General features: G+C 42.4%; 1 protein-coding gene and 1 non-coding gene across 2 annotated transcripts; both read left to right on the forward strand.

Moving 5' to 3' along the window:
* Positions 1,368–13,307, forward strand: CLRN2 (clarin 2). The gene is made up of 3 exons (NM_001079827.2): positions 1,368–1,722; positions 9,067–9,246; positions 13,020–13,307. Exons 1-3 carry the CDS (start codon positions 1,470–1,472, stop codon positions 13,283–13,285), a joined length of 699 nt encoding a protein of 232 aa, NP_001073296.1. The 5' UTR covers positions 1,368–1,469; the 3' UTR covers positions 13,286–13,307.
* Positions 13,308–15,139: 1,832 nt separating this feature from the next.
* Positions 15,140–15,243, forward strand: LOC124900895 (small nucleolar RNA U13). The gene has a single exon (XR_007058537.1). It is a non-coding gene; the product is annotated as a small nucleolar RNA U13 (small nucleolar RNA).
* The last annotated feature ends 11,570 nt before the right edge of the window (positions 15,244–26,813 follow it).

Here is a 26,813-nt window from a genome sequence, read left to right on the forward strand (position 1 = left end):
AAAGCATTTTGCATTTTGTACATGGTAAAGTGCCACTCATCTGTATATATAGTAAGAGACAGGATCTCACTCTGTTACTCAGAGTGGCATGATCATAGCTCACTACAGCCTTGAGCTCCTGGGCTGGAGCAGTCTTCCAGCCTCAGCCTCCAGTAGCTGGGACTACAAATACACGCCATCAGGCCCAACTATTTTTTTTTTTTATTTTTTGTAGAGATAAGGTCTCACTACATTGCCCAGGCTCAGAAATTCTCATTTTTATTTTCATTGTGGAGTGGCCACTGAAGTGAGCCCCAGTTGCGAGGAAGGAAACTGACATTTCCATTAATGTGTCCCTCTGCTTCCTTGACACTCTCCAAGTGAGATTCCTGGGACCCCTATTGGTTAACAGTGCAACTTCCTGAACCCCCCTTCAGGCTTCTGTGACCAACTAAGAAATTTTACTGCTCCACTTTTGCCCAACTTTGCTCCCCAGAGATATGGATAGAGTGACTGTTGCCAGTCTCACATGATGTTAAGTTGATATTCAGGAATAAGGTAAAAGTCAAAATGTCAAAGTCCACAGTATAAGATAGAAAGGAAAGAATATTTCATTCCTAGTATCTACAGATTAAAAGGAAAGCCTAGATCTTCCACTATTAGAAGAGATGAATACCCCAGCAGTGTGGCTACTATTTGCTAATACACTAGAAAAACACTTTTCTCTCCCATTTCAGATAACGTAGAAGGAGGGACGGGTGAGAGCAATGTTAAGTGTTGGATTCCAGGCTACCCCAACAGCCACAAAGTAATTCTAGTCACAGTTTACCCCCAGCAGATTCACACAGTGAGAAATTCATAAGGCCCTATTTACACATTTCAATATTAAAGCCCCAAGAACCGGGGTCATTTGATGGTATTAATAACAGTCCTAAAGATTCTGACAGCAGTGACATTTCAGAGAAAGAAATGCCAGGGCACCCATGCATCAGCGAGATCGACATTTGATACTGCGCATTGTTGGCAATATTCAAGTGCTAATCATTCTGTTTTTGTTTTCCTTCTAACACATGCATTTTTTGAGATTGGTTTGCGTCTCTTAATCTTCAGAGCTACCTGATTTTGCTTATTACTAACTCCTTTATCATTACGAGGTCCACACCAGGGCTATTTAAATACTTGAAACGAGGAACAGTTAAACAGTCTGCTGAAACATTAGTCTAGGAGGAGATATAAGGTTACTTCCTTCAGTAACACACTCCGCTACATAGTCAGGTGAAGATTGTCTCTGTAGAGGCTTCTGGATGTGGTTGTAGGAAGCATGGACTGTGCAAGCTTGCGCTGAAGGAGGACGAGAGGATGGACCTACAACCTTGAAACAGAGTGTTTGGAAGAGCTGACCTTGGAGCAGAGCATTGCCGAGTATCTGAAAGATGTCAATGACCCTCGCTGCTGCTCGGAGACCTTGGGGATGACCTGCACCCACTAGCATGCCTGGATGGTTCAAAAAGGCGTGGTATGGGCTGGCGTCTTTACTCAGCTTCTCCTCCTTCATCCTGATCATCGTTGCCCTGGTAGTGCCCCACTGGCTGAGTGGGAAAATCCTTTGTCAGACTGGAGTGGATCTGGTCAACGCCACAGACAGAGAGCTGGTCAAGTTCATTGGGGACATTTACTACGGGCTCTTCCGAGGGTGTAAAGTGCGGCAGTGTGGGCTTGGGGGCCGCCAATCCCAATTCACGAGTGAGTATATTGGGAGCATGAAAGCTGATTCTAGGCACTCATTTTTGTTAATGTGTAAGAGTGCTTATGTCTCATTGTGGAATTTGGCTGCTGCCTCAACGTCAGGCATAATGTCAAAGTCCACAGTGAGCCAAGGGTTCTGGATCCACATCAAAAAGATCTTTCCTTCCTTCCTTGCTTCCTTTTCTTTTTCTGTAGAGATGTATAGAAACATTAGAAATAAGGATTTGTGCATTTTTGCAGTTTACCTCTATTAATTATGACTATTAAAATATTGAGAGTTTACACGTGTCAGACATTGTAAGCACCTCACGCCACTTGTCTCCTTAAAGCCTTACAACAAAGTTATACAGAAGGAATTGTTAATGTTCCCATTTTCCAGAGGAGTACACTGAGGCTTGGAGAGGTTACATAACTTACCTGAGGTCACCCAGCCAGGAAACAGTAGAGCCGGACTCCAGACCCATGCCACATGACCACAACAAGTGGGTGGAGGCTGCCTGCAGAACTGAACCTTTGGGAAGCATGATGACCCTTTCCACATCTACTTTTGTAAAAGCTTCATAGTCTGAGAAAATGCAAAGGGGCACTGTGCTTGGGTTCTGGAATCAGACTACCCTGGCTGAAACCCCTACTGGAAAGTTTACTGGTGGGGAGACCTCAAGCAAGGCACTTGCCTGTTCTCTGTGAACGTGAGCGGGCACCGACTTTGGCTGGCATTCAGTGTAGCATCAGAGCTGCCCAGGATGTAAGCAGAGCAGTCTGCACAAACAGGAATCCAAGCTGGACTTAGGAACGGGCTTCTGGAAAGGAAAAAACAAAACAGGCAATATTCTGCAAGCCTTTTGAATCGATGAGATCACTGGTGAAAAGTGTCTGCACAAAACCGTAATTAATCAATACCATGCCAATGTAGGGTGATACAGAATTGTATTCATTCCTTGATTTCTATATTTCAGTATTGTAGTAGTTTATAGAAATCTGGCCAAGGTAAATGTCGTATTAAATTTATAAGGACAAAAAGCTGGAACCGTTGACAAATATAATACAAATTGTCATCATTTAAACACACAAAAATTTACATTTGTTATGTATATTCAAGATCAATATGTCTGGGCATATTTATATTTACCTAGCAATTAGATTAGACCCTGGATATTGAACAAATAGCTCCATCAAAATTATAACATAAAACTTGAAAACACACACACATAAACAAATAAAAAAAAGAAATGCTAAAAGCTAACCATGACAACTACATGGACTACTCGATTCTGAACTAGATGCTTTGCTATAAAGGATGTCTTCGGGACTTTAGGGGTCAAGAAAACTTCCCCTTTGCACTCTGAAGGTTCTCTAAACAATCTACTGACAAAAGGCAGATTAATAGGGAAAATGGCTTACACATTTATTAGCATGCATAGGGGAAAAATCACAGAGTGATTGTCCGCTATCTCAATGGGGTACAGGTGGTTGTATCCTCTTCATCTTAGGGGAAAGAGAGATGGGGAAGTGTGGATGATTTTAGGGGACTAGTAAATTATTTTTAGGGAAATTCAATGGGCTTAAAGAACATACAGTGAGCTGGGACAAAGTCTGTTGAGCCCACAGAGCAGACATTGGTTTGTGACAAAAGTCTGTCCAGCTGTGTTAACAGACTTTAGTCTTTCTTCCTGTGATATGGGTACAATTAATGAACACTCAGGGAAGGGACCAGAGGTCTTTTTCTTTGGTAGGTCTGGATGTAGGCAGGTAAGGGAATGTCAGAGAACAACCTCATCCTGTGCTTATGAGACAGACAAAGAATGGAGAGACACGAGGGAGAGGGGAGGCCAGAGAGACCTTGAGACTTCTTCACAAAGCTTCATATTTTAGGGGTGTTGGTTTCTGAACCCCAACAGGTAAATCGTTGAAACTTGAATGGGGTGAGAAGATTAAACAGCAGTCACATGCCAGCATTAACCTAATGACCAGACCCCTGCCATTCCCAGCTCACAGAAATGTAAACTGCTTCGAGTAGGAAGCTGCAAACAAATGCATATTTTGTTTGAGCCTTGGAGGAACTCAGTAAGTACTTCTTGCCTTCCTCCTTCTTCCTTCTTAGAAGGACACCAATGGGAAACATTCCCCTGGGTTCATCTAACGTGGTCTGGTCTGGAAAGCATCAGAACCCTGTGAGAAGCATAAAGGACATTTTATTCTTGTCCCTGAGTAGGAGCGTATTTGAGAAGGTTTTGTTTCCTGCTGCCCTGGGGTTGTCTCAGAGGAGGGTCTGTAAACATCCATTCGCAGTACCTTGGATGTGATTCTCTTTCAAAGCATTCACGAGGAGCCTGGGGCCAGGTTCCTCCTGTGCTTGGCTGGCTTTACCCCAGTACAGCTCAGGGACACTGATAGTGCCAGTCTAGTCTCCTTTAGATTTACAGCTTTTAATTCTAGCACAGTGTAACCTCGAGGCAGCTACGGGGTATATCAGAGCCTCCCACAACCAGGAGTCTGTTTCTCCTGGGGTCTCTTTCTGCCATTCACTATCCATCTGTAGAAAAAAAAAAAAATAATCCCCACAGTCGCAGATCAGTGTAGATGGGGACGTAAGTGAAAATGCTTTGCAAACTCTGGGATGGGGAGGTTTATTGGGTCTCGTTCACAAACAGCCACTTTTCTCATCACAGAGGCCTCCCCAAAAAATCACCCAGGGGAATAAATTCCCACGCCAATCATGGAGAAAACCAAAGAACTATCCATCGCAAAGATTAAGGTCCTTTTTTTATACCCAGGCCCTATGAAATAAAAACAAGTCAACATGGCTGTTTGGGTGGCTAGAGAAAGAAAAAGACAAACATTACTTTAGCATTGTCCACACATTCAATTGTACTATGGAGTATTTACAGACCAGGCTCTTAAGAAAACAGGGATGAACAAACCAGACAAGTACTTGCCCTAGAAAAGCTTAACATCTGGCCGGGTACAGTGGCTCACGCCTGTAATCCCAGCACTTTGGGAGGCCAAGGCAGGTGGATCACCTGAGATCAGGAGTTTGAGACCAGCCTGGCCAACATGGTGAAACCACGTCTCTACTAAAAATACAAAAATTAGCCGGGCGTGGTGGCAGGTGCCTGTAATCCCAGCTACTCAGGAGGCTGAGGCAGGAGAATCACTTGAACTTGGGAGGTGGAGGTTGCAGTGAGCCAAGATTGTGCCATTGCACTCCAGCCTGGGTGAAAAGAGTGAAAATCCATCTAAAAAAAAAAAAGAGAAAGGAAAAAGAAAGAAAAATTTACCATCTGATAAAGGAGAGGCAGATAAATATATACTAGGCACAGAACACAGTATCTGAAGCCATTGCCTTGTAGTTCATTTCCTTCCATTTTTACTATGCTAGAGAAGAGATTTTATTACGCCCATTTTACTGATGAGGAAATTAGAGACCAGAGAAATCGATACATAAAATAATTTCTTTAAAAGCACCTAATGTAATAGATTGCTTTGCAGCTTTTAGTTCTCTGGTTCCTCTCTACTTCCTGCCTCACAGGTATTCCACTAGTGGCCAGGACCTGGGTTTGACTTCAGATGTCCTGCTTTTCTTATTTGCCCTGCTGGGGCGAAAAGGACTGCCAGACCTCTCTGGGATTCGGAGCAAACAAATTATCTTAGATGCTGATAGATGCTGATAGATGCATCATATGCTGATAGATGCTGATAGATGCATCATATGCTGATAGAATGATGCTGATAGAATGATTAATCAATTCTGCTTTCAAGTGAGTTGCCTCTAATGTGTAGGAAACAACTATATCTATTCAAATTCAAAATGAGACCTCCAGGATTCAAAAGACTCTATGTTTAGAATTTTAAACCTCTACTTATCTGTGCTTTCTGATTTTTCTGCTCTAGCCCTGTAATAGAGTAGTTAAGCTGACACTTTTCTTGCTGTGGGAGCGTAGCTAAGCTATTTCACTTCTCCGAGCCTCAGTTTCCTCATTTGTAAGCATGAGAGAGGGTGTCCATGAGCAACAGAACAAAGAATATGTATAAAGCCACCGGCACATAGTCTGCACCCCATATAGGTGGCTGTTGTCATTTATCACCATGAATCGTGTTGTCATTTATCACCATGAGTCGTGTGTAGGGTCATGGATTTCAAGCTAGAAACTTAAATTTAATTCCTAGTGGGAGACATCTAAAACTCTTGGAACCTGGATTTCAAATGTGAAAGGCAAGTGAGCAACAGCTTTCCTAGGGCAGCACTGGGTGTCAGGCTAAGGCAGAGTCACCTCTCAGTGAGAAAGTAGAAAGAACTGGTGCATTAACACTCCTGAGAAATGATTTGAATTTCTACTTTTTTCTTCTTTTTTAAAAAATAATTTAATTTAGAGACAGAGCCTTGCTATGTTGCCCAGACTTATCTCCAACTCCTAGCCTCAAGCAATCCCCCCATAATGGCTCCCAGAAGTGCTGGGATTACAGGCATGAGCCACTGCCCCAGCCTCGAATTTCTAAATAATGACATATATTAAAAAATAATAAAATCTCTATTAAACATGAGGTCCTGAGCCCTGTGTTATGGCCCAAGAATGTGGGGGTTGAGTGAGATTTGCCCTTTGCCAATAAGTATTTTTTAATTATAGTTAATGCACTTCCTACTATGAAGGCCGAGGACTGGGCACTCTTTACCACCCTCTCCACATCACTCCACATTCCCCAAATTCCCTCTCCCCCGTCATCCTAATATGATTATTTCTCAATTTTTAAAAATCAAATCTGGATATGGTTTCAATCATTATGTGGATATAATTCTTTCTTTTTAAAAGATGAATTATATACATTATGGACATTATGGATACTTTATTAAATCAGTCTATTCACATACTGTTTTTTCTCCAATCTTTTGCTATTGTAATGAATATCCAATATTTGATCCACGCTTTGAGCACATGTGGGAGTGCTTCTGGAAAATAAATTCCTAGAAGTGAATTTGCTTTAGTAGATGTTGCCAAATTGCCCTCTAACAAGGTTACATGAATTAATATTTCTATGAGACTTGAGAGTGCCTCTTCCTTACACCATTGTCAACACGGTGTTTTAGCAAACATTTTGATCTTTACCATTCACATAGGTGACTGTTTTCTATTGTAAGAGTTTTGGTAAGCATTACTATGTTAGTCGTGTGTCCTAAGGATTGCCTGGTTAAGAAAGGGGATAATGAAACAATTTAAAAATCAGGCACAAGCGGCAGGGTCTGGTGGCTCATGCCTGTAATCCCAGCACGGGCAGATCACTTGAGGCCAGGAGTTTGAGACCAGCCTGGTCAACATGGTGAAACCCCCGTCCCTGCTAAAAATGCAAAAATTAGCCAGGCATGGAGGCGGGTGCCTGTAATCCCAGCTATTGGAAAGGCTGAGGCATGAGAATTGCTTGAATCAGAGAGAAGGAGGTTGCACCAAGCCGAGATGGTGCCACTGCACTCCAGCCTGGGTGACAGAACAAGATTCTGTCTTTAAAAATAAAAATAAATAAATATCAGCACAAGCTACTGTGTCTGAAACAAAAAGGGGCTGAGAGTTTGAAAAGAGAAAAAAAAAATCTAAGGGACATTAAGATGGGATAGAAGCACAGGGAAGAAAGACGCTTTACAAAGACAAACTCACTGGAAAGGAGCTCATCTTCCAGGGTAAAGTTTCCAATGCTGATTAGATAACCATAGGGAGATAAAAATAAATGGAAATTCAGAACTGGAAAGAAACATCAGAACGCACAATGTAAACGTGGAGTGCCTGAAAATGTGTCACCTAACGGGACACCTAACGGGAAAAACAAAAACTCTAGTTCTCAGGACTGGGAGACGCCAACCTTCAGTGACTAAGAGAGGCAGGTGAACCAGCAAAGGAACTAGTTCCATCAGGGTGGGTATTCAGCAGGAACCTTGGAGCAATTGCAGAGGAATGAGTATGCTCAGAAGTTCTGTAGCTTTCATAATGTTCAATTCTTCATGTAAAACTACTAAAGATCATGACTTGACACTGTTGATACCATACAGTTGTGAACAACAGTTCTCAGAAAAGGAATTTGGAGTAAAGAATTTATTCCAGTTAACGGTTTGCAAACCAGGGAAACACAGCCTCCGGTGTAAAAGGAAGGTGTATTCCAGAGAAGAAAGGGAAGGCTCAGATTTTATAGCAAAAGTTCCCACCCAGGTTTCCAGTCAGGTCTGTTTGGGTAAATAAAGGATTCAAATTCACTTAGTTCTGATTGGTGGATACAGCTGAACCCTGATTAGCTGGTACAGCTGAGCCCCGATTGGTCATTACAGCTGAGCCCTGATTGGCTGAGGCAGATCTCAAAGATAAAAAGGTGTGGGTTTTCAAGGAACTCAGAAGATGCGTGTGACCCCCTAGTCAGTAAATGGCCACTTGGCCCTACTTTAAATTTAGAGCCAGTTAACCACTCAGGACCCATCTTGAAGGACGGGCTCTTTCAGGGTCACATTTGTTCTCATAGTATATTGAACTATAATCTTATATAGAATTAAGAGTTGCCTTCCCCAAACACAAGCAATTAATGTCTCCAAGCCTGTGGGTATAAGGAGTTTATAAAATCTACCTCATGTCTTTGTCATGCACATTGAACAAGATGACGATGTAAAATGTTTGGCCCATGACTGCACTTAGTAAATGTTGATTATCCTCAATTCATATGCAGGGATTACTATCCCCATTGTACTGATGAAGAAATTGAGGCTTGAGAAGTCACATGACTTTCCCAAGACTGTCAAAATATAACAGCAATAACCACAGCTGCCATTTTTGAGAACTGACTTTCCCAGGCACTATTTGAGCTACTCTATTATGTTATGTCATTTCATCTTCACAGCTGGTACTGCTGGCAAACATAGAGAAAACAAATATGAATTAAGATTTCACTAACTTATTTTGCCATACTCATAAGGCAAATTAATATTTTAATAAAACGTTGTGCAACGTGAGAATTATGTGTCCTTCATACATGGGGATAAGCCAGGGTCTACCTTGCTAAGTCACTGGGGCCTGTGTGCATCAGTTCACATCAGATCCCAGAGCTTCAAGCTCAATGCAACTTAAATTGACAGCCAGGGCATATTTTGATTTTGTGTCCACTCTAAGGAACAGAGGCTTGTTGGTCAACTGACAAGCATGAATCTGGGGGCCATGAGTTCATCTCAGAAAGTCTCCCGCTGTTTGAAATCCCCACGCTTGCTGTCTTGCCCTCACCCCTGTCTGTCGAAGCCTTCGTGGTAAGCAAGCTTGGACTTCATGAAAGTGAGTCTAACTCTGACATTGAAATAGTGGCTGTGTCTTGTCTCCCCAGTCTTCCCACACCTGGTGAAGGAGCTCAACGCAGGCCTTCATGTGATGATTCTGCTGCTCCTCTTCCTGGCCTTGGCCCTGGCTCTGGTCAGCATGGGCTTTGCCATTCTTAACATGATCCAGGTCCCGTACCGGGCAGTCAGCGGTCCTGGGGGCATCTGCCTATGGAATGTCCTGGCAGGTAAGAAGTCCCTTAGGGAGAGAAAATTATGTCCACACCATCATAGGGCTGGGCTCCAAGTAGTTGGGCAGAAGGTGTGAAGGAACTAAAATGCCCCACTGGAGCCTTGACCTTCCTGGGTCTAAGACCTTCTTGATGGGCATGGAATGAATGTCCTCTTTTTCTTTTTCTTTTTTTTTTTTTTTCTTTGAGACAGGGTCTCACTTTGTCACCCAGACTGAAGTGCAGTGGTGCGATCTCAGTTCACTGCAGCCTTGACCTCCTGGGCTCAAGTGATCTTCCCACCTCAGGCCCCCAAGTAGCTGGGAGTACAGGCGTGCACCACCATGCCCAGCTAATTTTTTGTATTTTTTATAGAGACAGGTTTCACCATGTTGCCCAGGCTAGTCTCAAACTCCTAAGCTCAAGGGATCCACCTGTCTTAGCCTCCCAAAGTGCTCAAGAATTTCCTCTTTAAGTTGCAGAGTCTGTCACAACAAAGAAGCATCTTATTAGAGTACGTGAATGGCTGAGGGCTTAGAGCAGTGAAGAGAGATCGAGGTGAAAGAAGAAGCCAGAAGACAGAGAGCTGGAAGTAGGGAGAGGTGGGGGCCCTGAGATGGGAAAGAGATGGAGCTGGTGCTGCAGCTAAGGCTGGGAGGAACTCCACAAATGACAGAAGAGAAGGGTAGTGTGAGCAAGAGGCCATTCGTGAAAGGCTCCTCCATTCAGGCTCTGGGTTGAGAAGGGGAAGTGAGTGCCATCTAGTTGCCAAGGTCTTTGGTGTTCCCCCCACACACACACTTGGGCATATTAATGCAGACGTGGCTCACTGGCTGTCTCAACTCTCCCTCCTCTCACCTCCCCAACACCTTCACTGCACCATGCCCTTAAACTAGATGCAACTTACTGAGCAACCACTAAGGGCTGGGCAGGGACCTGGAGATTTTGCATGCATTGCTTCATTTAAATCTCACCACATCCCTATGGGAGGTATTATTAGACCCACAATTACAGATGAAGAGCCTGAGGCTCAGAGAAGTTAAACAGTCGCACCACAATGAGTGGCAGAGGTGGTATTCCAACCTAGGTGTAACTGATTCTAAGCTCTTTATTTTTCCACAGATCCATGCTCTCATTTATGACCATCATGACCTGTTTTCCAAGCCAAAAACTACAAGATGTGTGTGTGTGTGTGTGTGTGTGTGTGTGTGCGCGCGCATGTTGATTTGGGAGTATATTGATGCACAGAAATTAATTCACATTTAATTATGCACTTAACAAATCATCTGTAATGAAAATAACAGAATCTTGTGAAATGAGGGCTGTCACAGAAAACTCAGGTCAAATATTCAAGGTACCATTAGAACAATAATCCCTCGCTATGATTACCTTATACAAGAATAATATAAAAACAGGTAATGTTATTTTATTATGTATTATAATGTATATCAATCAATCAATTATTATGTATTTGCCTTTGTTTGCAGATGGTAGCCACCCTGTAGAATTGTTTACATACATGGCTTACCCTCATCAAGACTACAGGTGTCTTCCTCATCTGCATGAATCCTCACAGAGGCTGTCATGTAAAAAGTGCTCAACGCTGCTTATTAAATAAATATTTATCTCTGTCCATTCCTTTCCTTAGAGAGATAGCACTCTCAGACTCTACTGATGAGAGTATTAGCAACAGGCAAAAAAGCCTGGGCAACACAGCAAGACCCCATTTCTAAAAAAAAAAAAAAATTAGCTGTCCATGGTGTCCGGTGCCTGTAGTCTCAGCTGCTTGAGAGCTATAATCCCAACACTTAGGGAGGCTGAGGTGGGAGGATTGCTTGAGCCTGGGAGGTCCAGGCTGCAGTGAACCGTGATCATGCCACTGCACTCCAGCCTCAGCCAACAGAGCGAAACCTTGTCTCAAAAAATAAAAAATAAAAACAGGCAAAGCTTTATGTCTTTTGACAAAACTTTATTTCTTGCCACTGAGCTTAAAAAAACAACAACACTGTAGTGTCAGAAGGCAGAAAAAGGTGAATAGCCTTTGAATATCTTTTGACTAAACAATTCCATGTTTGAATTTATGCTAAGGAAATACTGGACAAGAGAACAAGGATGTACATAAAATGGTATTTGCTGTAGCACTTTATAATATCAAAAAATTAGAAGTAATCTAGACATCCAGAAATAAGGTCATACTTACATAAATTATAGTGTGTGACCTTATTTCTATAATTTAGTAGAGACTGTTTAGTCTCTACTAAAAATACTTACATAAATTATAGTGTGTAGTGCATAAAATACTATGCACTCATTTATAGTCATGCTGTAAGCCTGGCACGGTGGCTCACGCCTGTAATCCCAGCACTTGGGGATGCTGAGGCAGCAGGATTGCTTGAGCTCAGGAGTTCAAGACCAGCCTGGGCAACATAGTGAGACCTCATCTCCACAAACAAACAAACCAACAAAAATCAAAAATTAGCCAAGCATGGTGGCATGCACCCATGATCCCAGCTACTCAGGAGGCTGAGGCAAGAGGATCGCTTGAACCCAGGAGGTCGAGGCTGCAGTGAGCCGTGATCATGCCACTGCACTCCAGCCTGGGTGACAGAGCAAGACCCTGTCTCAAAAACAAAAATAAAAACAGACAATAAAGTCATTCTGTAACAGAATATGTAACAACACGTAAAAATGTCCAAGTGAGGGGAAAAAAATCAAATTTAAAATCAAAGTAAGAACACCATAATACTAATTTTCTTAAAGAGAAAGAAACATAAAGAAAAACACTAAAATGTTCAAAGGGTTCAAGCTGGCTTTTAGGATAAAAGTAAATTTGCTTATGATTTTCTCTGGTGTCCAAATTTTTCTTCGATGAAGATATACTAATCTTTTAAGAAGCATCATAAATGTGTTATTAAAAATATTAATTAAAATTGAAACCAGAGGAAGAGAGGGGGAGAGAGAGAGAGAGACAGATTCCTCCCAGAAAGTCAAAGTTTCAAGCAAAACATAGGGAAGTAGTTTGGAATTCTTCCAGTTTTCCCCTCCCTCCTTTCCTTTTTCTATGAATGGTCATCCTTATCCTTAAGCATGGAAGGAGGATAATTAAACAGGAGAGCAACAGTTTTTCTTACATCTTGCCACATAGCCTTCACGGTCTTCATAGAAATCCTAGGATATTTTAGACAATGAACTTCTCCAAACGTGGATCCTTAGGAAGCATGGTACTGGGTAAGGGGAAAAATTGGAAGAGTGGGCCGGGTGCGGTGGCTCACACCTGTACTTCCAGCACTTTGGGAGGCCAAGGTGAATGGATCACTTGAGGTGAGGAGTTCGAGACCAGCCTGGGCAACATGATGAAACCCCATCTCTACTAAAAATACAAAAATTAGCCGGCTGTGGTGACAGGCACCTGTAGTCCCAGCTACTCAGGAGGCTGAGGCAGGAGAATGGCTTGAACCCGAGAGGCAGAGGTTGCAGTGAGCTGAGATGGTGCCACTGCACTCCAGCCTGGGCAATAGAGCAAGACTCCATCTCAAAACAAACAAACAAAAATAATTGGAGGGGTGGAAATTCAAAGCTGATAAAGCAGATCCTCTCTTTCCCCGCACAATCCTGCCTTTCTCCTTCATACTGTGTGGGTTATCTCCTACTTTTAAAAGCAAATTAAAACTTATGTCTTCCTCATAATTTTGTTAACCCAAAGCAAGTTTGTCACACGTGGCACAGAAATGCCACCTCTTACAGAGTTGCAAAAAGGAGCCGTGAATGAGGGTGACCTTTTTGAGTTTCAGGCGGCGTCGTGGCGTTAGCCATCGCCAGCTTCGTGGCTGCGGTGAAATTTCACGACCTGACGGAACGAATCGCCAACTTTCAGGAGAAGCTCTTCCAGTTTGTGGTGGTGGAAGAACAGTATGAAGAGTCGTTTTGGATCTGCGTGGCCAGCGCTTCGGCCCATGCTGCAAACTTGGTCGTGGTGGCGATCAGTCAAATTCCCCTCCCTGAGATTAAGACCAAAATCGAAGAGGCCACGGTCACAGCTGAGGATATCTTGTATTAATAGCCTTCCCCTGTTCACAACCTGTCCTAAGTCAGTTCTGTGTGCGAATGGAGTCCTCATGTTTTTGCAGCCTTCCCACTCCATCATGGCTATGTTCTCAGCAGTAAGAAAAAGGATGTGAAGGACCAAGGCTGTTGCCTGGGCCAGAAAAGAAAAACTTGCCCGGAATCCCCAGCGTCCTTGCATTCCTCTCTCATGACCTTGGAGTTCAAGTTGCAGCTGGAGACTCTGCCACTTGCCGGCTGTGTGTGACATTAGACAATTCACTTAATGTCTACGTCTCTGTTTCTTCATCTGTAAACTAAGCACAGTAACAACTTCGCAAGGCTATTGTGAAATTTAAATGGGTGATGATATTGCCAGATTCTGCATTCTGTAGAGCACTTGACAAATATAAGATACTACATACTCCAATAAGTGTCTGTAGATCCCTGGTCGATTCCATACAATATTGGGCTGGTGAGTGGGGAAGAATTCTAAGAGGAATATGATACTGTTCCCGTTCCTGCCCTCCAGAAACACCTATCTTTCTACATGACACAGGACTTAGCAACGGTAACACTAAGAATGTAAGTAACTGCCATTTTTTGAGTGGTTACTATGTGCTAGACACTGTTCTAACTCATTTATTAACTCATTAGGTCCTAATGGCAAAAACAGCAATTACTTTTGCACCAACCTAATAATAGAACAGCCATAAGGGACCGAGGAGGGAATTAAATCTTGAGGATGGGATGTGGTATTAAAGAAAGTATCACAGCGTGAACATTTGATCTGAGCTTTGAAAGATGAGTAGACTTTTTCCAGTGGTGAAGGAAGCAAGGTTAAAGAAGGGCATTCCAGGATGCGTCAGTAAAAAGGCTGGGCACAGGGCATGAAATTACAAGGAGGGACTGGGCACAGTGGCTCACACCTGTAATCCCAGCACTTTGGGAGGCTGAGGTGGGCAGATCATGAGGTCAGGAGTTCGAGACCAGCCTGACCAATATGGTGAAACCCTGTCTCTACTAAAAATACAAAAATTAGCCTGCCGTGGCGGTGTGCACCTGTAGTCCCAGCTACTCGGGAGGCTGAGGCAGAAGAATCGCTTGAACCCGGGAGGTGGAGGTTGCAGTGAGCCAACATCACACCACTGCACTCCAGCCTGGGTGACAGAGTGACACTCTGTCTCAAAAAAAAAAAAAAAGAAATTTCAAGGAGGGCTTAGAAGCATGTGAGTACTCAATGGGATTAGAATGTCGCTTTAATCACCTGTTGGAGAAATTCGGCTGTTTTGTGTTGGGTTTTCCTAAGTGCCACTGGAATGATTAATTTTATGTGTCACTTTGGATGGACCACAGTACCCAGATATTTGGTCAAACACTTCTAGATGTTTTTTCAAAGGTATTTTTTGATGAGATTAACATTTAAATTTGTGTATTTTGAGTAAAACAGATTACCATCTGTAACTGGATGGAATTCCCTCATCCAATCAGTTGAAGGCCCTAATAGAAAAAAGGCCTCGCTCCCCTGAGGGAGAGAGAATTCTGCCAGTAGACTTTTTGGACTCACACTGCAACTGTCACTGTATCTCCAGCCTGCCCACCAAGCCTCAAGATCCTGGAATTGCTGGCCTCCTGAGTCACGTGAGACAATTCCTTAAAATATCCCCCTCTTTCTCTCTGTCACTACACACACACACAGACACACACACACACACACACACACACACACAGCCTGTTGGCTCTGTTCCTCTGGAGAACCCTGACTAACAGAGGTACACAACTCTATGAACTCATTTTCCCATGGTGCTAGCTTGGATGAATCTTTTCCCAGGTCCCCTATCTTCATGTCATGCAAAAGTTATCTAATGCGATCCTTTTGTAGTTCATGAGGATGACGATTGGGTTTTCGTGCACGTGTGTGAGATATGCTACCCTGGAACCTTGTTATGACATCTGCACATTACCCATCTGACCTGAAGAAAAAAAAAGGAAAAGGAATTTTTTTTTTTTAAACAGAGCTTCGCTCCTGTTGTTCAGGCTGGAGTGCAATGGCGCAATCTCAGCTCACTGCAACCTCCGCCTCTCGGGTTCAAGCAATTCTGCCTCAGCCTCCCAAGTAGCTGGAATTACAGGTGTGTGCCACCACGCCCAGATAATTTTGTATTTTTAGTAGAGATGGGTTTTCACCATGTTGGTCAGGCTGGTCTCAAACTCCTGACTTCGAGTGATCCACCCACCTCAGCCTCCCAAAGGGCCGGGATTACAGGCATGAGCCACCACGCCCAACCTAGGAATTTTTTTTTTTAAGTGATCTAATTCCCCAGATTAGCTCCATCTAAAATGACACCTGATTTGGTGACTTCAGGAAGTGCTCATGTCATCTCTCTCTTCTTTATAATTCCTTGCTGGGCTCACCTGCCCCTTTCAGCCCTCTTTCCACATCCCAGGCATAGCTTCAGCACTATTTAGTGGACTGATGTCACTCACCAAAGATGCAGATGGCACATGGCTAGAAGAGACAGTTATGTGATAGGAGACGGATCCAAAAGATAGTGACAGACTGCCAAGCTGTCTTGAAAACCAGAGGAAATGTCAATATCGTATCAAGTTTGAACACAAAGTCCTGCTGACAGGTTTTTTTAAAATCAACATAAATACAGAAAATCTGACAACAGTTTATATGACAAGTGTCTGAGGATCTTGGTACATTTATTCATTCAACAGTATTGATACTGATCTAGGTGCTGGGACTAAAGCAGTGAACTGACAAAAATCTCTGCCCTCCAGACATTTCATTCTCCCAGCAGCTGGGGATGATTCATACTGAGAAGGCTTGTGATGGAGCTATGCAAAGAGTTAGCACGGTGGACAGGTGTGGTGGCTCATGCCTGTAATCCCAGCACTTTGGGAGGCCAAGGAGGGAGGGCTGCTTGAGTCTAGGAGTTCAGCCTGGACAACATGGTGAGACCCTCTCTCTCTATTTCCAAAAATAAAAATAAAAATAAAAAGTCATCAGGACCATAGCCTTTGAACTGATCACTGCCTTCAGTCATATGCAGACCATCATGCCAAGAAGGGAGCAGAGTGGGCTGGGTGCAGTGGCTTACGCCGGTAATCCCAGCACTTTGGGAGGCTGAGGCGGGCGGATCACCTGAGGTCAGGAGATCAAGACCAGCCTAGCCAACATGGTGAAACCCTGTCTCTACTAAAAATACAAAAATTAGCCGGGTGTGGTGGTGGGTGCCTGTAATCCCAGCTACTTGGGAGGCTGAGGCAGGAGAATCGCTTGAACCCAGGCTAACATTGCAGTGAGCTGAGATCACGCCATTGAACTCTAGCCTGGACGCCAAGAGTGAAACTCTGTCTCAAAAAAAAAAAAAGAGGGGGGGCAGGGTGAATTCAGTTTTGCTTCTAAGTGTAGATTAGGATTGACTTTAATCAAGACAGTTGTGTTTCTTTTTTTTTTTTTTTGAGGCAGAGTCTTGCTCTGTCGCCCAGGCTGGAGTGCAATGGTAGGATTTTGGCTCACTGCAACCTCTGCCTTCCGGGTTCAAGCGATTCTGCTGCTTCAGCCTCCCGAGTAGCTGGGATTACAGGTGCTCGCCATCATGCCCAGCTAATTTTTTGTATTTTTAGTAGAGACGGGGTTTCACTATGTTGGCCAGGCTGGTCTTGAACTCTTGACCTCAGGCAATCCACCCACCTCGGCCTCCCAAAGTGCTGAGATTACAGGCATGAGCCACTGCACCCAGCCGGATGTGTTTCAAGAAGTCAAAGTGCAGGCTTTTGTACGCATGTGCATTTTTTCTGTGGCAGAGTCCATAGCTTTTGAAAGTGTTTCAGAAGTATCTATGACGTCTTTAAACCATGATCCAGCAGGTGGCAACCATAGTGTTACTGGTAATAATCTTAGTCTGAAAGACTATCTTTCAGGAATACTGTAAATGAGATTCCTATGTGGCATTTAGCAGGTTGAGAGTGGGGGTGGGAAGAAGGGAGATTAAATATCTGGGTCACAAAATTCACTTGCATTATTTTTCAAATGCACAGAGGAAAATGTAGCTCCTTTATCTTGACTATAATTAATTTGGTCACTCTATGAGTAAATAAATAGTAGCTTCAGGAAGGGGGCTGGTCACAGGAAAAGACCAAGGCAGGATTAGAGGGTTGGGACTTCCAGCCTCACCCACACCCATGACTTCTGGGACGAAAGAGGGGCTCAAGGTTAAGTTGATCACCAATGGCCAATGCTTAATCAATCATGCCTACATAATGAAGCCTCGGCAGAAAACCAAAAGAACTGGGTTTGGAGAGCTTCCAGATGGCTGAGTATGTGGAGGTTCCTGGAGGGAGGTGCACCCAGGGAGAGCATGCAAGCTCCGCGCTCCTTCTCCCATACCTTGCTCCATGCATCTCTTTATCTGTATCCTTTGTGATATCCTTTGTAATAAACCAGTAAATAGAAGTGTTTCCCTGAGTTCTGTGAGCTGCCCCAGCGAATTAGCCAAACCCAAAGACGAAGTTGTGGATTTGGCTAATTTGAGGCCAATCAGTCAGAAGTTCCAGAAACCCAGACTTGCGACTAGTGTCTGAGGGAGGAGGGACAGCTTTGGGGACTGAGCCCTCAGCCTGTGGGACGTGATGCTATCTCCACATGGATAGTGTCAGAACTGACTTACAGCACACCCACCTGGTGTCTGCTGCAAAACGGATTGCTTATTTGTTGATGGAGGGAAATTCCCCACATTTGGTCATAGAAGTCTTCTGTATTAATTGTTGTTGAGAGTAGTTTGAGAGCTCAGAAAAACACTGAGTTCTTTCCTCTCAGAGGTCACCATCTTGTGTGGGCCAGGCACTGTACACTTTCTCCTTAATTCTGACAATTATTCAAGATAAATAACATTATCTTTTTTTAACAGATGGGTAATTTTAGGTTTGGAGAATTTAAGGAACTTGCTCAGCCCCATTGCTAATAAGTAATGGAGAAAGACTTCAGCCCTCATTTATATGACGTCAAGGCCACCACTTTTGCAATACACCAAGATTATTGCCTTGAATCACTCTTGAGGCTTCTTCTCAGGATTTCTGCAAGTGGCTGTGCAGGTTGCACCCCGCCCAAGGGAGGTGCAAGTATAGGGGGTGAGGGACTAGCCCATGCGCCCCTGGCTTGTCCTGGCCTCATCCACAAAGGTGCTTTCTCCTAAAGGGGATGCCTTTTCCTAAGGCTCACAAAGGTGTCCAGTGGCCTGCAGTGCACTATCCCTTCCAGCCGACCAGTCCATGCAAAGTCAAAATGTTAGTCATAACATTATTTTATGACATTAATTAGAATGTGATGATGATTAATTTGCATATGCCCTTTAAAAATAATTATCCTATGCATACATTTGTATGCTTGCTAATGATATGATATTACTAATACTAACTGCAGGGGCCAAAGCCAATAAACTTTAGCTGCAATTAAGAAAAGTAATTTGTTACTGGTGAAAAGAAGTTCTACTCTATGTTCACAATATAAAAAATGAGTAATTGCCAGGGCCGGTGGCTCAAGCCTGTAATCCCAGCACTTTGGGAGGCCGAGTCGGGTGGATCACCTGAGGTCAGGAGTTCAAGACCAGCCTGGCCAACATGGTGAAACTCTGTCTCTACTAAAAATACAAAAAATTAGCCAGGCGTGGTGGAGTGCGCCTGTAGTCCCAGCTACTTGAGAGGCTGAGTCAGGAGAATCGCTTGAACCTGGGAGGCAGAGGTTGCAGTGAGCCGAGATCATGCCATTGCCCTTCAGCCTGGGCAAAAAGAGCGAAGCTCCATCCAAAAAAAAAATGAGTAATACGTGGTTTTCATTAATGAAAATACAACTAATAACATATACAATTTATCAAGACTTTTGGATAGCAAGGATCTTTCCATGTCAAATCAGAGCAGAGTTATATGTTACAAATATACTTCTCTCTCTTTCAAGAAAAATGTGAAACTATGAAGAGTAAATTAAACAACTCCTCACACTTCCAAAAGCATATAGTAAAAATGCTAACTCCTTCAATTTAAAAAATCCTGTTTTCTATATCATAAATAAGGTCACTGCAAAGAGGTTGATGGTTAATGAGAACTAACCCATGCTTTAGCAAAAATGTGCAACATAATCCAAAAAGACAATTGCATTGTTTTCCTAGGGTTCCTGAAACAAATAACCACACACTTGGTGGTTCAGAACAACACACATTTATTATCTTAAGAATTTCAGAGGTCAGAAAACCAAAATGGGTCTTACTGGGTGCTATGGTTTTGATGTGTCACCCAAAGTTCATATGTTAGACATGGCCCCTAATTCAAAATTGTTGAGAAGTAAGACCTTCAAAAGGTGATTAGGTCATGAGGGCTCTGCCCTGGTGAATGGATTAATTCACACTCTCTCATCGTGTAATGCTTCCCACTGTGTTATGATGCAGCAAGAAGGGCCCCATCAGATGCCAGCATCTTGATATTGGACTCCCCTGCCTTCAGATCTATGAGAAATAAATTTCTTTTCCTTACAAATTACCCAGTTTTTGGTATTCAACACAAAATGGACTAAGACACTGGGGTAAGTCAAGGTGATGGCAGAGGTCAAGCACAATGTCTCATGCCTGAAATCCCAGCGCTTTGGGAAGCCAAGGTAAGAGGATTGATGGAGGCAAGCCTGGGCAACATAGTAGTGACCCCCATATCTACTAAAAATTTAAAAATTAGCCAGTCATGGTGGCATGCCTCTATAGTCCTAGCTGCTCAGGAGGCTAAAGCAGGAGGATCACTTGAGCCTAGGAGTTCCAGGTTACAGTGAGTTATGATCATGCCACTCCACCCCAGTCTGGGTAACAAAATGAGACCCCCTCTCAAAAAAAAAAAAAAAAAAAAGAAAGAAAGAAAAAGAAGAGAAAAGGTATTGGCAGAATTGTGTTTCTTCTGGAAGCTCTATGACAAAGTTTGTTTCTTTGCCTTTTTTAGCTTCCCGAGGCCACCTGCATTTGCTAAGTCATGGTTCCTTCCAACAATTATATATTCCCAGACTCTGCTTCCATCATACAGGTGATGATGGCTCTGACCCTTCTGCCTCTCTCTTAAAAGAACCCTTGTGATTATACTTGGTCCACCCAGATAATCCAAGACAACTTTGGGGAACAGATTTCCACCCACCACAACAATGTTACTCAATGCCAGTATTTCTTGTTCTAACAATATTCATGAAAAGAACATAATGTTTAGATATAAAACTCATGAACAAAAGTATTAATTATTAATCATTATTAATAGATTAGCATCACAATTTAGAAAATACTTGCTGGGGCTGGGCGCTGTGGCTCACGCCTGTAATCCAGGACTTTGGGAAGCCAAGGTGGGTGGATCACGAGGTCAAGAGATCAAGACCATCCTGGCCAAGATGGTGAAACCCCATCTCTACTAAAAATACAAAAATTAACTGGGCATGGTGGCGCATGCCTGTAGTCCCAGCTACTCAGGAGGCTGAGATAGGATAATAGTTTGAACCCGGGGACTGAGGTTGCAGTGAGCCGAGATCACGCCCTCTGCACTCCAGCCTGGTGACAGAGAAAGACTCCATCTCAAAAAAAAAGAAAAAAGAAAATACTTGCTGGGAATGAAGTGCTAACCTACTTCCAGTACTTAAATATTAAGCCAGGTTCATCGCTGGAAGTCATAGAGGGGAAGGAGGCTACGCAAGACACAGGGAATCTCAAAGGTGAAATGTGAAATGTGATTTCCTGATGTGATACTGGAGAGGGACACAGCAACTCAGAGAAGTTACTGAGCCCATTTTATTTATTTATTTTGTTTTTATTTTATTTTATTTTATTATTTTATTTTATTTTAATTTCTTTTTGAGATGGAGTCTCACTCTGCCACCCACGCTGGAGTGCAGTGGTGTGATCTTGGCTCACTGCAACCTCCATCTCCCGAATTCAAGCAATCCTCTTGCCTCAGCCTCCCAAGTAGCTGGGACCACAGACATGTACCACCATGCCCAGCTAATTTTTTTTTTTCTGTATTTCTTTGTAGAGACGGGATTTCACCATGTTGGCCAGGCTGGTCTTGAACTCCTGACCTCAAATGATCCGCCCACCTCAGCATCCCAAATTGCTGGTATTACAGGCATGAGCTACCATGCCCGGCTTCCTGAGCCCATTTTAGATGAATTTCTACAGGTGAAAGATTTCTCCTATTCATTTCCTCATGATTCTTCGTTTCCTTTTGTTTTGGTAGTTTGGGTTGTGAAACCAAGAGTAGAGCTTCTTAACAAACCTATGCAACTAGGACACACATGAAATCCTTGCCAGATAAATTAGGTTGTCTGCTCTCTGTTTCTTACTTTCTTTTCTACGGCAGTGTCAATCATGAGTCAGCAATAGTCACAGCTTGACAAAAATAAGGCCAATCAATAACAGAGCGTTTGCCATATGCTAGGCTTTCTACTAATTTCCCCACATGCATTGTTTCATTTTCATTCTCATAAAAATTCTGAGACGTAGTTGCTCTTATTACCAGTTTTTGGGTTTTTGAACAAAAGTTCTCTGAAAAGAAATATGGAGGAAAGAGACTTTATTCCAATGAACAGTTTGAAAACCAGAGAGATGCAGCCTCCTTCTACCCGTGTGATTTTCAAGGATGTACCTAGCCTAACGTATAAGGATTTGAAGTAGGTGCCTACCCTATTCCCAGCCTTGCAAACCAAGGAGACACAGTTTGTAAACTGAGGAGATGCAGCCTTCAGTTTGTGAACACAAGTTCTCTGAAAAGGAATTTGGAGGAAAGAGACTTTATTCCAGTGAACAGTTTGCAAACTGAGGAAACAGCTTCAGTGTAAAACAAAAGTGCATTCCAGAGAACAAAGAGAGGGTTCAGGTTTATAGCAAAACGTCCACCCCAGCTTCCCAATCAGGTCTGCTTATGAAAATAAAGGATTCAAACTTTCTTAGCTCTGATTGACCAACACAGCTGAGTTCTGATTGGTTGGTAGAGCTGCACCCTGATTGGTTTATATAGCTGAGTCCTGATTGGCCAAGGCCGGTGAGCTCTGATTGGTTGGTTCAGGTGAGACCTGAAAGTCTCCAAGTTAAAAGGGTGTGGGTTTGCGGGGAACTCAGAGTGTATGTTTGACCTCTAATAAGCAAATGGCTCCTTGGCTGTATTCAAAACTTAGGCCCAGTTAGCCACTCAGGATCCATGTTGAAGGATTGACTCTTTCAGATTCACATTTATTCATTACATTTATTCACAAGTTAAAGAATTAGAAACACAGCTTTCTCATTTATAATATAACCAAGTCGCGTAAGATAATCTCTAATTTTCTTTCCCTCTCTAAAATGTTATGACTTTTAATGCTATATAATATATCCAGATTTATAGTGAATAAAGCACCTAACTATATGCCGGGCACTAAGCTAGGCATTTTCATGAATGCTATTTGGTAATAGTTGACTACCAGTGTGATTGGAGATGCTGTTACATGCACTGACAATTTAATATTGTGAGGATTTCAACCACCAATTCAACTATATTCTGAATATATTGTATATGCATTTCTCTGATGTTCGCGGCTGAGTTCTTGGTTAAATAAAACAAATGTAAAAACATGGCATGTAATTGTTTGCTTTATTGCTTTCTGTTTTGGAAAAAATAATAAGCAACACTAACAAATGACTTTGGAACCACAGTGATTTTTCTTTTGTCATTGACCTCTTGCGGAACAATAAATTGTATATAATACATTTTTTTCTTCTAACATAACAATTCTCTCAACCTTACAGATTTCAAGGGAGTAGGAGGAAGGAGGGAGTGAAGAGGACAAAAAGAATTCTTTCTATTGAAAAGGGGATGTGGCCAGGCGCACACACTTGTAATCCTAGTACTTTGGGAGGCTGAGGCTCAGGAGTTCGAGACCAGCCTGGCTAACATGGTGAAAGCCCGTCTCTACTAAAAATACAAAAATTAGCCAGGCGTGGTAGTTCGTGCCTGTAATCCCAGCTACCCGGGAGGCTGAGGCAGGAGAATCACTGGAACCTGGGAGACAGAGGTTTCAGTGAGTCGAGATCACACCACTGTACTCCAGCTTGGGCAACAGAGTGAGACTCTATCAAAAAAAAAAAAAAAAAGAGAGAGAGAGAGATGTTTGTAAGAGGCCCACAGAAGTTCTCAGCACCAGACCAGGTGTGGTGGCTTATGCCACCGTGCGGTAGGAGGCAGGAGGGAGTGAATAGGACAAAAGGATTCTTTCTATTGAAAAGGAGATGTTTGTCTATTAATATAATCCCAGCACTTTGGGAGGCCGAGGCAAGAGGATCAGTTGAGCCCAGGAGTTTGAGACCAGCCTGGGCAACATAGGGAGACCCCATCTCTATAAAAATATATTTAAAAAAAAAAAGAAAGGAAAAAAGTTCTCAGCACTGTTGAAGAGAGAAATGAGCCATCCTCGAGTCATTCTGTCTACTCTTGTTGAAGCTTCCCTGGGTACCACAGCTTAAGTGGCCCACCTGAGAGGTGGCTCCTGATATACCAGCTGTTTATTAACTATGTCAGTAATGGTGATTTCTGACTCCAAAACAAACTACTCAAAATTTTACTTTAGTTTTGAAAAGTAGTGTTCCTATGGTGAGTAGTCAGCTGAACCATTTTAAAGGCCCACCCTTCAGGGTTTTGCTGTAGTAGGTTATTCCTTGTAATGAAAACAATTTTCTTGAAAATTAATTAATCGTGATGTTTTAAATCTTGTTTTGTAAGTATGCCTTTGTTTCTTTAAAGCCCTCATCATGAAGGCCTCGTCTCTTTTCTCAGTCATCACTATGGCAAACTTTAACAAGTTAGTTAGAATTTACAAAACTGTGGCAAAAACACTGTTAGTTACTTCAGAAAGTAAAGAATGGGAATGCATGACTTTTTCAAGTTCCCTTTACATAGCACGTTGTATGCCTTTCAGCAAAAATGAAAATAATAATAATAATACATTGAAATAGGTAATATTCCATTTATTAAAGTTATACATTCACAAAATTTGTTTCTCCTTAAATTGAAGTTAAGCTTATAAATATTATTGTTCTGTTTTTTAGGTTAGCAAATTTTAGTGATCTCTTTTTAAAAGCTTTGGTTTACCATTTGGTCCCCTTTATGAATGTACTAAATAAACATCTTGAAACAGCCTATGTAACTTAATTTATTTTCCATGCACTTCAATTAACTGACAAAATTTAATAATTCTTCTAAGTCTAATGAATTAAAGTTAAAATGCTGTGAACCTTAAGTTATCTTAAAAATTCTGGCTGGGTGCAGTGGCTCAAGCGTGTAATCCCAGCACTTCGGGAGGCCAAGGAGGGCGGATCACGAGGTCAGGAGTTTGAGACCAGCCTAGCCAACATGGTGAAACCATGTCTCTACTAAAAATACAAAAAAAAAAAAAAAAAAAAAAAAGGCTGAGTGTGGTGGCAGGCGCCTGTAATCCCGGCTACTCGGGAGGCTGAGGCAGGAGAATTGTTTGAACCTGGGAGGCGGAGGTTGCAGTCAGCCGAGATCACACCACTGCACTCTAGCCTGGGCGACAGGGCGAGACTCTGTCTCAAAAAAAAAAAAAAAAAAATTCCAGCCCTGTATATAAATAAGCAAAACATGATTCCAAATCATTAGAAATATACGGCTGTCCTGTTTCACCAGCAGACCAGCTTCTCTTTCATCACCAATACATAAAATAATAAGGAAGTACAAATTTTAAAATCAAAAATATCAATACCTTGATTTTGCTTCTTTTAAGTATTTTTGTACTTAATTCTAAGCTTTGTCAGGGCAAAAAGACACTTACTCACAAAGTAAATGATTACATCATCTCTCACAACTTTAGGAATTGCCTTCCCATCTATTTTGGGAATTGACTTCTCAGGAGGTTTGAGGTTGCGTTGTGAACTTGAGTCTCGCCTCAAATTAAACCCAGTTTAATAGTGAAGCCTGCCTTATACCTTACCACTATTGTTCATCTTTACTACCCTGCTCGACGTTTTCTTTTTGCTTATCTTTAACATGCTAGATAATTGATATTTGTGTTATACTTACTGTATACTGCCTGTCTTTCTCCATGAGAATGTCATCTCTATGAGGACAGGATTTTTTTTTTTTTTTTTTACAGAGTTTCGCTCTTGTTGCCCAGGCTGGAGTGCAATGGCACGATCTCGGCTCACTGCAACCTCCACCCCCTGGGTTCAAGTGATTCTTCTGCCTCAGCCTCCTGAGTAGCTGGGATTACAGGCATGAGCCACCACGCCTGGCTAATTTTGTATTTTTAGTAGAGATGGGGTTTCTCTATTTTGGTCAGGCTGGTCTCAAACTCCAAACCTCAGGTGATCCGCCCACCTCAACCTCCCAAAGTGCTGGGATTACAGGCATGAGCCACTGCGCCCAGCCAGGACAGGAATCTTTCTAGGGCTTTTGCTCTTTGACAGATGTTAAGCACCCAGAAACTGTTCCTAAATTATTTAGAAAATAGGCCAGGTGTGGTGGCTAATGCCTGTAATGTGCCAGTTGGAATTTTGCAATATCTATACATATGTAGGTACAGTATGTGTGTATGTACCTATATATGTATCTATACAGTGTGTAGCCTTTTCAGACTGGCTTCCTTCATTTAGTAAAATGTATTTATGTTTCTTCCATGTCTTAGTACCTTGATAGCTCATTTCTTTTTAGCACTGAATAATATTCCATTGTCTGTGTGTACCAAAGTTTATTTATCTATTTATCTACTGAAGAACATATTGCTTTCCTCCAAGCTTTAGTAATTATGAATAAAGCTGCTATAAACATCCTTGTGCAGGTTTTTTTGTGGTCATAAGTTTTCAACTTCTTTGGATAAATGTCAAGAAGTGTGATTGCTAGATGATATGGTAAAAGGATCTTAGTTTTTTAAGAAACTGCCAAACTGTCTTTCAAAGTGGCTGTACCATTTTGCATTCCCACCAGCAATGAATGAGAGTTCCTGTTGCTCCACATCCTCACCAGTATTTGGTGTCATCTCTCTTCTGGATTTTGGCCATTCTAATGGGTGTGTATGGTATTTCACCATTTTCTTCTTACAAAGAAAAAAAATCACCTATGACAGATAATAAGCCAATGCTTACTTTTTATATTAGTAATTGGATTTACAGAAGTTCAGGAAAGAAGAGGTTGGTATAGGGATTAGTGAATAAAGTTTCTTGGGAAAGGAACTAGAGCTCAACTAAAAATGTTTCATGCTGGCCAGGAGGGTTACAGGGTGCATGCCAGGCAAAGGCAGAAATGGAGACAAGCAGAGTGTGGAAGGAGAGATGAAGCCCATGTGTTCTTTAGACCAGCGGTCCCCTGCCTTTTTGGCACCAGGGAGGTTGCAGTGGTCATAAGTTTTTTTTGCGGTCATAAGTTTTCAACTTCTTTGGATAAATGTCAAGAAGTGTGATTGCTAGATGATATGGTAAAAGGATGCACAATTGGAAAAATTGTGTGTTGGGGTTGGGGGTTAGATGGTTTCAGGATGAAAC

The sequence above is a fragment of the Homo sapiens genome, chromosome 4, assembly GCF_000001405.40.
Source record: "Homo sapiens chromosome 4, GRCh38.p14 Primary Assembly".
In the NCBI taxonomy this organism is placed as follows: Eukaryota; Metazoa; Chordata; class Mammalia; order Primates; family Hominidae; genus Homo; species Homo sapiens.